We start from the raw sequence: 12,242 nt of genomic DNA, 5'->3' as shown, positions 1-12,242 counted from the left end.
GGTAATTTATCTGCCTGCTATTGGCCTCAAATGCCCCATCTGTAAGAAGAGTCTAAAAATAACTTCATCACCTTTTTTTGCAGGGCTTCCTGAATGAAATAATGTACTGTAAGTCCTTTAAAAAATACTAGCAGTTAATGAAGTGCTAAATACACAACAGGTTTATTTGCTCTCAATTTCAGCATTTGCTGTAGTGAGATTACTGCCGGTCGTTCACCGTTGAAAATTTCAAATGGTATGATCATTTTAAAAAGCAATCCCACAATGTGTATTTGGAGTCCTGAAAATGTCACTTAACTTTGACCCAGCAATACCAACTTCAAGGATCAATTCTAATGAAAATATACTAGAAACATATCCATGCCAAAGTTGTATTTACATGAAAATAATTTTAAAGACAGACAAATGCTCAAAAATAGCAGTTTGATTAAGTAAATTAAGACATGATAGAGTAGAATATGACAGTCATTAACAATATTTACAAAGATGTTACAAATCCTTCTCTATATTAAGAAAATCAAAATAAAGCATAACTGATCTATGCAGTATATGTGCACAGTTGTGCAAAATATATACACATTAAATATGTAAGCATTTGTCCTTAAGTGATGGGATTTTTCTAGTTTGAATTTTCCATATTATCTATGATTATTATATATTATTTTATAAACAGGAAAATATTTTTCAAAACAAATCAGAAAGGGTCAATTGTCACCAGTTACCAAAAGGCTGAATGGCCAACGTGGTATACTTACTAAGAAAAATACTGTTCATATCATCTTATTTGTTCCTTTTATAAATGTTACATGTGCATAATGTATTTAAGACATTGTGAGCACAGATTGGTTGATTATTTTTAATTTGCATTTGGGTTATTTTTAAAAGAAGGATAGCCAGTGAGAGATTAAAATTCTCAGGACAAGTGGGATACATTAAGATCTAAGATATATTATTTCAGTTTTAAGCAATCTTTTTTTTCTTAATGTGTGAAAGAACTGGAAAAGAAAGAGTGTGAACTGAGTGTGCCAAACAACAGCATTGCCTGTTAAAAAAAAATCTAAACGTATCACAGTGTGAATTAAAAAATAAAAAAAGGAGTGAGACAAAATTACTGCATTAAAAACAAAACAAAAGAGCCTCTATCTGTCTTGCTTTTCATGCCCCAACCCCCCAAACAAACAGTGTTATTTTTATTACTTCCTTCAATTAGTCTTTTGATAATGTGGTCACCAAATTGTAGTTTGAGGCGTGGTGTTCTTGTCATTTTTGCACTTGGAGGTTTCCCTAAATTCACTCACACTTATCCTTTGCAAATTTCTATTAAGAAAGAAAAAACAGAACAAAACACTAACCATGACTCCCTTCCCCCCAGAGGCCTGCAATTTGACATTCTAAATATATCTAGAAGATGCGTTTAGTTGCAGTGACTTCTTAAGGACATCAAGGTTCCTGGGGCTCAGCCATTTTATTTCAGACAAACCTTATCTGGAGAGTGTAAAATCTGAACCATTCATGGGACTGAAGCTGGTTTAATTGCTTTCAGTTTACAGATTGCATCCATTGTTTTAACTCCTTCACAGGTAAGAATAGAAAGGAATGAGATGTAATGGTTTGGCATCAAGGCAGCCCATATACAAAAGGCTAGCTCTGGGCTGGGCACGGTGGCTCATGCCTGTAATCCCAGCACTTTGGGAGGCTGAGGTGGGTGGATCACGAGGTCAGGAGTTCAAGACAGCCTGTCCAAGATGGTGAAACCCTGTCTCTACTAAAAATACAAAAAAGTTAGCCGTGTGCGGTGGCAGGCGCCTGTAATCCCAGCTACTCCGGAGACTGAGGCAGGAGAATCGCTTGAACTCAGAGGGCAGAGGTTGCAGTGAGCTGAGATCACGCCACTGCACTCCAGCCTGGGTGACAGAGTGAGACTACGTCTGAAAAAAAGAAAAAAAAAAAGACTAACTCTGCTAGTTATTGCTGTCTAACTTGGAAAGAGTTGCCTCTTTGTGTGTCTAATATCCTTGTGAGTTAAAGGGGTGATTATTGATTACACTGCTGGGTAGATTACATGAGTTAACACATGAAACCATGTCTGGCAGAGAACGGATACTCAGTATATGAATGTTCTTCTTATTCTATATGAAGATATTTTTAAGTAAAATAAAAAATTATATACATGGGGTCAGACCTGTGCTTTCAAGATTTTAACCTGGCAGGAAAATGAAAGCTGCATTACCACGGGAGAGATTTCTTGCTAGGAGAGAAGTTGAGACATTTTAAATGATCCATACATGAGCTAATAAATACCAGAGGGGAGCTAATACTTACAGGGTGCATTTGAAAGGGTACTACAATTCATAAGCTCGGGAAGGAATTAGTCAGCTGTCACTCAGAAACGAAAAAGAGTAGAGTTATTTGAAAGATCCAGACTTATAATATCAGAAGAACAGATATCCCTGAAATTCTAAAGTCTAGTAAATAAAATTGAGAGAGCTTTGAGATACAGGGACTAATTTAACTTAGCTTCTTGATAGAGATCGGATAGGTATGGCATTCACACCTGTTGCTAAAGAAGATGCTGCAGAAGGCAAAGATAATTAAGACTATAGTGTTTCAATAAACTAGCTTTAGTCTCAAGGGAGCCCCTAGCAATGAAAAGGGAATAGGAAAGAATGGGGAATAAGAAACAAATATAACAGATCAGATAATACTAGCTTTTCAAGAACTGTGAGAATAGTCAAAAAGCATAGAATGTCTCAAGAAGGCATTGACATTAAATTGATTGGCATTAAATAGACAAAAAAGCTGCGCATTTTTTGGAAGAATTATAAAGAAATTTGGAACTTGAGTTAAATGATAAACTCTTTGAGGCTAAAAACATGTCTTAAGCTTTCAACTTTCTCTAAGTGCTGTATAGCACCCAAGGAGTATATAGTTCTCAGTACTGACTTCAAATATGTCCAAAGAGGAAAATAGAAAAGCAAGCATCCTACGTAGGGTGGAACCCAGGCGCCTTGGAGAAAAATATGCTGCAGAGTCATAATTCAGTTTAGTCAGAAAAATCTTCTCTGACCCAGGACAGGAGGCCCTCCAATCCACTCAGCGAACATGCAGGTGTCTGTGGACCTGTGCAGCTCCCTGCTTCATCTCTCTCCTTTCTGAATGAGATACGGGTGCTTATTGTAGTTATTCTCTGTCTGCCCCACGTTATAATTTGAGTATTGGGGGCATAAATGATTTGTCTTTTTGGATTATACGCGTCTTTTCTAAGACAAGCCTCTTTCAATCTAAAGAAGAAACTACAAAACATCACCCGGAGATGTCAGATTTTGAGCTTTATGCCTCAGATGAATGGAAACTGAGGATTGTTCCACTTGTTGAGGAATGAGCATGTTACATGTGTGAAAAGAAGGGAATACAGAAATGTTCAGTGAGCAGAAGGGTGGATTGCGGCCCAGCACCCCATGTGTTACACCACACTCCCCAGCCCTTCTGTAATTATCCAGGGAACTATAGGAGGAAATAGCAAGTTTTCCTTCTGGACTGAAGTGCCCAAAAGCTGGCATATAACTTTTCAGCTTTCTCTCTCTGCCACTGTATAGGAAGGTTGTGTGTCTGGATGGTGCAGCTCCAAGACAGTAAATGATCCATCAGCCTGGAAACACCCACCAGCTTCCCCTGTCTTCCTGAATGAGGCAAATAACAAAAGCAAGAAATAAACTGTGGGTTATCTGTTTTGTAGCAGTCACTTAACCTATCTTGATTATTACACAGGCTATCTGGTGTAAAGGATAAAAACAGAGGGGAAGGCTACTAGAGTGGTACTTCCAGAAACTTCATCTTTCTACTGTTTTCAAGAAGAAATATTCAAATCTGTATCAAGTGAGACAACTCAAAATATATTTAGCCAGGGCATCAAAGTCAAACTCAGATCTCAGGGCCATGTGCAGTTGTCTGTACTTTGGGTATGGACACAGATGTTTCAGAAACCAGTAAAACAAAGAGACAAAGTTATATGAGCCACACTTACTCAAACTACGACAGTGGAGGTAGGGATAAGAAAGCTACAGAGAAGAATCTAAAAATGTTTGCAATGATTTTTATGTATCCTTATCTTCTCCTCTCCTGGTGAAATGAAGGATTTGAGGATGTATTTTTCCTAAATTTAAAAATAATCCCTTCACTTATTTTCTGGTTCATTTCACTTTCTCAGGAACCTTAACATATGGATTAGCCTCTTCCCCCCCCTTTTTCCTAGATCCTCTCTTTCAGATTTTAAATCAGGTTTAGTCAAAAAAATCTTCTCTGACCCCAGGACAAGAGTCCTTCCCAAGCCACTCAGTGAGGGGTCAGGTTTCTGTGGGCCTGTGCTACTCCCTGCTCCGTTCTTCTCCTTTCTGAATGAGACATGGGTGCTTACTGTAGTTACCCCATGTCTATTTCACATTACAATGGCTAAATCTTTAGAGTCTGAAACATGTATTACCTTGTCTTCAAGTCCCCGTCCAACTGTGATACCCTTTCTCCTGTCCTTCATAGAAGAACATAAGAAACTCCCCATATTTAGCATCTAGATGTCTTTACTTCCCATTCACAGGTCAACTCTTGGCAAGCCATCAAAAAAGGTGGCTCTACCTATGAAGTCATCAATGCCTCCATGACAGTAATATCACTGAACACATCTAATCCTCTGCATCCTTGGCTCTCATAAGCATTTGACATGCTCTCATTATTTTTTAAGCATTCTTTCTTCTTGGATTCTATGGACTATTCATTTACTCCTGATTTATTGACAGCTTCTTTTTATCATTTATTTTCTGCTGCTTAGACTTTCATGTTTGGAGTTTTTCAAACTCGATTTTAAGTTTTTTAAATTCGATTTTAAGTTTCGATTTTAAGTTTTTGTTTGTTTGTTTTTTACTGTATAGTCTTTCTCTCAGTGAATTCTTATACTCCCATGGTTTCAATGATGAAAATTATATTCAAAGCCAAGACCTCTCCTTCTAGATCCAGACACACATATTCAGCTGCCTTTCCAATATCTCCATTTAGATGCTGCAGGGAGACCTGAAACTCAGCGTGTCACAAATATCTTAACTTTGGTGTTGCCTACTGTGGGGAAAATAATAATAAAAAAAAAAAAAACATGCCCTACTGAATTTTCCAATCCAGAATCTCCTCCACTCCCTCTTTTCCAAAAACATTCTCTCAATTCTAAGTCTTATATATTTCCAAATACCACTGGTTATTTTTTGTCTCCTCTTATACGCCTTAGTCTGTCCCAACATAATAATTTACATGTAGCTTTCCTTGCCAGGTACTTCTGTATATTGCATCCATAGTGATCTATGAAAACATAATTCTGAACTTTTAATTCACCTAGTACAAACTTGTCAATGATTTTCTATTACTGTCATGAAAAATACAAATCCTTAACATGACCTCGCAGGCCTCAAATAAGCTGACCCTGCTTCTCTCTCTGGTATTTTTTTATTTCATCCCTAATTCTTTTTACACATCATAATTTTGATTTTGATATCCTCTTTCATATGGACTTTTTATATATTATTCAGAACAGAATGACTAAATTTGCCTGATGGCAACGTATCTTTCACATGTCCCATTTATATTCTATTCCCAACATCCTTGACTATATTAGAATCCATTTACTTTTTTGGTAACACTCACCACAGTTGTAATTATTTAATCATTGGCATATTTTTGAGGCATACATATTTTTTTCTCTTGACTGTGAGTGCCATGTGACTAAGAACCCCGTTTGTCCTTCAGCAGCAAATCTTTAGTCCCTAGGATGGTGCTTGCCACAAAATTGGCTCTTGATAAAAAGCTGTTGACTTATCAAGGGACACATTTGTTCATTCACTTTAAAATCATTAAGGAATACATGAAAGTAGACATATGGAGAACAAACTGTCACAATCAAATCACCATTGAATATATCTGTCCATCCTTTTGATTGACAGAAACTGTGGTGAATGAGAAGAACATTTTCTTGCTCTTATCTCAGGACTTCTCTCACCTTGCTGACGGCCAGTGAGGGAAGACCAGGAAGGATCCTGCCAGCCTGAATTGAGGCTGAAAGAAAAGGAATCCTGGAGCAGGTGGCTCTGAACAAGATGACTCCGGCCAGGTCTAAACCTTGGGGGTGAAAAGGATCCCTGAGACTCCTTTAGGATCTGGCATGTGATAAGAATCCTCATCAGGATTTGGACCAAAGTGATAAACAGAGATTAAGAGCTTGCATTGGCACAGTATTGTTCCCAGTTAATTGCTCCTCTAGGTAAGAAGCATGTTGGGTAAAAAATAAAAGCACTTGCCACTAACATTAACTAATAACTGGTATCCAGTTATTAGTTCTAAGCTGTTGCATGCATGATCTCATTTACTCTTTACAGAAATCCTATTGAGTAGCTGGTACTTTTATGCTATTTTTATACATGTAGAAAATAAGGCATGGGAAATTAATTAACGTGCCCAGTAACTCCCAGTTTAAAGGTGGTATTACCTCCATTCCAACCCAGGAAGTCTGCATGCAGAACCTGCATCTTAAACCATTGTGCATTTCACTAGAGAACCAAAGAGCAGTGTTTGGCTATTCTATTCAGGATTTTAATCTTTTAATTTTTTATTGATTAATATTTTTTTAGAGACAGGGCCTTGCTCTGTCACCAGGCTATAGTGCGGTGGTGTGATCATAACTCACTGTAGCCTTGAATTCCTGGGCTCAAGTGATCCTCCCGCCTCAACCTTTAGAGTAGCTGGGACTACAGGCACGTGCTACCACGCCTGGTTAATATTTTCATTTTTATTTTTGTAAATAGGGGGCCTTGCTTTATTGCCCAGGCTGATCTCAAACTCCTGGCTTCAAAGGATCCTCTTACCTCAGCCCCCCAAAGTGCCGAGATTACATGCATGAGCTACTGCACCCAGCTCTATTCAGGTTTTATGTAAACTTGGTGAGATAAATCCTGGTGAAAATATTTTGTTGTAAATTTTGCCTCATTCTGTAATATGATCCTTCAATTGTTTTCTATTCTCCATACAGGAAAATCTTCAAGCGTTTGGTTCAATATGGAAAATATTATTTTCAGAAATCAAGTGTATCCACTCAGCTTTACATTTAAAAAGTACATTATATTATTTTCCAGTGCAGTTACCTGTGGTGTGGTTCTGGCACATCATATTTCTTTTCTAAACTTTTCAAAGATGCACATATTTGATAAGCCTCTAATTTATTCTTAGGTTTGCAATGGGAGAAATCAGACTTCATTGTCAATAAAAGCTAAGTGTAGAGATCCTCCTAAGTGGGAGAAAAGAGTAACTTGGTAAGTCATATTGGAAAATAGCTAAATGGATTTTTGATTAAATTTTTAAAATTTTTATGTGAATGAAGCAGAAAGATTTTAAGGCTTGGAGGTAAATCTTCTAGCACATCAAAGTTTTAAAAATAAAGCCCCATTAATGCTCTTTCTTCAATGATGGTATGATGTGATTTAGTGTGTCGGAAGTCACACATTGACCCCAAATATATCCACATTAGACTGCACATGGTGTTCAAAATTCTGACATTTTTAAAATAATTATTTCAAGTTTTGTTGATATCTCTAGTTAAATTGCAAATAGTCTGCCTAAAGAAATAAGTTTATGCCAAAACTACTCATTAGCACATTAATATCACAGTTTCTCAGATACTGTCCAGCAAGACAGGGTTGGGAATAGTATTGTAAGGGACAGGAGAGGACCAATGGATGAGGTTCTAGTGCTTTGAGCAGATATAATGGGCAGTCTGGATAAAACAAAGGCCAGAACTGGGCTGAAGAATACCTGCAGAATGAAGGAGGGCAACAGAAACAGAGCAGGGACATGCAAAGAGAAGTCTAGCCAAGATATAAAATTAGTTCATTTGCTTTCTCGATGTTGTCTAGCACTCACTGTGACCTGGCTAATACCCTATTGTATTATGGTATCTCCGAAGAGTTTTGAGAAAAATTCAGAGCCCTTGATTATTTTTCTATCTACTACTTATATATAAGAGTGCTTTGAGATCACAGTCAGAGGTGGACAAGACGTCAGAGCTGGACAAGCCCATAGGGTCCACTTACATAGAGTATGCTGAACTTGTGAGCATAAACAATGTTTAGGGGCGACTTTATCCTCTTTGAAGATTCAGATTTTCCATCTGATATGGGTCCTGGAAATCTGTATTTTTGATAAATATCTCATGTGATTCTCATAATCAGTCAAGTTGAGAAAACCCCAGTCATTCAACAGATCAGAAAACAGCCCTGGAGAGGAGAAGGAACATGCCCAAAATAACATTATGATGAAATTCTTGCTGAGTTAAAAATCTAAAAATCCCAACTCAAAATGCATGTTCTATTCACTACCCTAAGCCCTTCCCAGCTGTGCTTTGATTTATCTAGTTATAAAACTGGCCTGATGCTTTTTCCCTTTTTTGTGATTTCTAATGTAAGCTGCAGCCCTGGATAAATCAGATGAGAAGGGTGGGGAGGAAAGATTAGATTGCTCTGGTGTTAACCTTTTAATTAAATCAATGGCTTGTACCTCTAATAAAGGGAGCGTTAAAGTGGAAAATGGAAGAGAACTACTATGACATATTAAATGCCCTCATTTGTGGGAAGCGCTGAAAACATAACTGCCGGGAAGCGGGAATTCGTCCATTTTGAATGAGGAATCCAGAGGATAGAAATCTGTGGGGCTCTGGATTGTTAGAAACAATACACAGGCCTACAGATGCTTCTGCTGTGGCTCCGTTCATCCCCAGAGAACACCTATTAGCAAGTTGGAGCAGGCCCAGGAAAGCAAGCTGCCTTGTTATTAATGGCAAATGAACCGTGGATGATGCTGACAGAGAGCCTCTCTCCATCTGACCCACGTTCTCCACTCCACATCATTCTGTTTATGGTATTGTTTTTGGAATTATATTCAGGCTGAGTCAGAAGTTTGCTTCCCTGGTTCTAGAAATGGCCGGTAGCCAAAGTGCTTTTGTATTGAGAACTAATTGGAGGTGAGGCGAGGTGATGCGGTCAGCTTTTGGAGTTAGTGCAAAGGAAAATGTCTAGAGAATCTATTTTTAACTGCCTTGGCGCCTAAATTGGCCACTGGAAGGGGGAGCTGCTCCGAGTGGTCAATAAGTAGATTCCTAATGTATCACACCTGAGACCAAGTTGGTGCCAGCTATTATGGACTTTATTATAGAAAGGGGATGATTTTCACCATCATACAGTTCAGTTCCCTTTACCCACCCAACACTTCCTGTTTATGGAAGGCAACACGGCGCAGTATAAAAAATGGACGAGTTCAGGTGAGACAGTCTTGGGTTTGAATACCAGATATGTTCCATTTTACATATATGATTTATTACTTAAACTCCCTGGGCTTTATTGTTCTCATCTATCAATGGAGGATAATATTTTTTCCTACTTTTTAAAATAGAAATTTCTTTAAATTAATATGTTATTTTCTAGCAGATAAAATTGTTAGCTTATACATTCTTTGAGCACATATTTCTGTCCTCAACAGCCTCACTTATTCATTGCTGTAACCAGAATTCACTATGAGACTTGGTAGGGGAAATAAACTTAATATATATGTTTAAGCGAATGGATGAATTAATAATTAAAAAATGACACTGGGTGCATTTAAATTCTCCACAAATCCTTAATAGCCTACTTATTCTTGCAGTTAATGTCTGTAACATTTATTCAACTTTGGCTTTTTTTTTAACTTATATTTCTTGAGCACAACCTATATGCCAAATCCTGTATGATTTGCTGAGGGAAACTTCAGAGGAACGAATCACAATGCAGGCCCTCAAAAAGTAACAGCCTACATAGATTTACAGTAAAATAAATAATAATTTAAATATAAGGTATTGCTTTTGATTGAGGAGAAAATAGAATTCTAGGGAAACATTAGAGTATGGCATTTATCCACACTGGGGACTCAGGTTGGTTTCTAGAAGTAAATCTAATATTGCTATAATGTACCAGATACAGGACTTTCAAGTATGTTCTATGTGTGTGTGTGTGTGTGTGTGTGTGTGTGTGTGTGTGTGTGTATGTGTGTGTGTCCGTGTGTTAAGTATTAGAAATGCATGCCTCAGTATTTTCACACAAACTCAGTACATTCTGGGAGAGACAGAGATTGTGTACTTTGGATTGATGACTTCCTCAGCTGTTTTATTTGTTTCTTTGTAAGGGTTTGAACATGAGATCTGCCCTTTTCTAGATACATGTCTTATCACTTAAACTCCCCGAGCTTTATTGTTTTCACCTATCAATTGAGGATATTATTTTTTTTCTTGTTATACTAACAGAGGAAGGACTCAGAAGCTAGTAAGTTCATTAGTAAATCCTAGATATGCTTTTTTTCAGTGGTAGCCAAAATCCTGTAGAAGTTGAAATACATGGTTGAGAGTGGACATTTCTTCTAATTAACATAACTGATGACGGGAAAAGATGTGCCTGCTGTCCTAGAATGATGAGTGTGGTAGACAGTCTCAAGGAGGTGAACACCAGAAAGGGGAATAATTAGATGTTATGCTTGGAAGTGCCCTTTTTCAGTTGTGTTGGAAAATAGAGGCAGCTTGGAAGACATGTTATTTGACTCAACTGCATCCCCATCATGCCTCCCTAGCAACTGCACACAATGCAGGCCAAAAATAATTTTTGATTGACTTGTGTTTGATTTCGTGGTGGAACAGGGTATTATGAGCTTTGAGCTCAAGCTCAGGCCAAACTGAACTCCATCAGCAGATTTCTTAATAAAAAAGCAAGGTCCCTGCAGGAATTCTATGCTTCAGCCTTATATCTGGCAGTTGTAATTCAACTTCTGAGACACTCTCTTCCAGCCAGCTGATGTCAGAGTTTCTTGGAATGTAGTCTGTGTCTCTTGGGTAAAGCTATATTCCTGTGCTGAGGTGGGACATACTCTTTAACTGCATTCAGAGAATAAATCAGATGAGATTGACAGGTATTTTAGAAAAACCTGGTATAATTTTTAACTGCTAACTCTCCTCCCACTAAGGATACTGTTAAAGCGAACTAAATATGGCCTGAGAAGGACTCTGTACTTCTATATTTGAGTCCTTCTGGGTGAACTGTAACCTAACAGGTAGAAAAGATTAAAAGTCTAGCTTAAGAGTATGTGCCTGTAACAATAGCTGAGTCTTGGCCAATCCTAGCAGCTGTACTTCAACCACTCATACACTGCTGAGTGTTCAAACTGTGTTCAAATAAGACAACCACCAACTTGTAACCAATCCAGCTGTTTCTGTACCTCACTTCTGATTTCTGTACATCACTTTCTTTTTTTTGTCTATAAATTTGTTCTGACCATGAGGCACCCCTGGAGTCTCTCTGAATCAGCTGTGATTCTGGGGGCTGCCCAATTTGTGAATTATTCACTGCTCAATTAAACTCCTTTAAATTTAATTCAGCTGAAGCTTTGTTTTTTAACAATATGGATGAAAGAGAAAGCAGCTCTGAGCCTAGTACATAGAAGACACCCAGGAAGTGTGAAACATGCCCAACTTCCTGTGCATGTATTTTAGGCAGACAATTTAGTTGGCAAAATATTTGGTTTCCAAAATCCAAATAATATGGTTATGTTCCTGTTACCTAACACAACACACATCCCAACCCTTATGCTTTCTCTACAATCTACCCATAGTCCATGTTACCTGGGAGGCTTGGGAGTTATCTGAACATCACTTTGGACATAAGAATGGCATGTGAAAAGTTACAGTGGTCACACATGTGGAACACATTTAGGGAACTGATGTGGCACCTACTGTTGGCAAGAAGTTGGACAAAATACCCGATAGATGGATTGCTGCCAGATCATGGACAGCCTTGAGCATAGGAGAGAAGGGATGTATATGATAATATTGATTGAGTTTCTGTTGGGAGTCTAGTATGGCATATGACAAACAGCATGCATGTGTCGTGGCCTTCACTGTCCTTACACGATTTGTTGTGTCCTCCTTTTTCTGCTAGGAAAGATGAAACTCAGGGACTATAAATAACTTTCTCTCAGTCACAGAGTGAAGAAATGGCAGAACTTGGATGTGAATTCAGATCTAACTGAATCAATGTCTATATTTTTAACGAAACATCTATTTTAGGTCCTTGAGCAAAGGGTAGATCTAATACTAGGCATAGGTGAGATGTTAGAAATGCTTGTTTTTTTACCACTCTCCTATT

The sequence above is a fragment of the Homo sapiens genome, chromosome 2 (assembly GCF_000001405.40).
Source record: "Homo sapiens chromosome 2, GRCh38.p14 Primary Assembly".
In the NCBI taxonomy this organism is placed as follows: domain Eukaryota; kingdom Metazoa; phylum Chordata; class Mammalia; order Primates; family Hominidae; genus Homo; species Homo sapiens.
Note: the sequence above shows the minus strand (reverse complement) of the source record.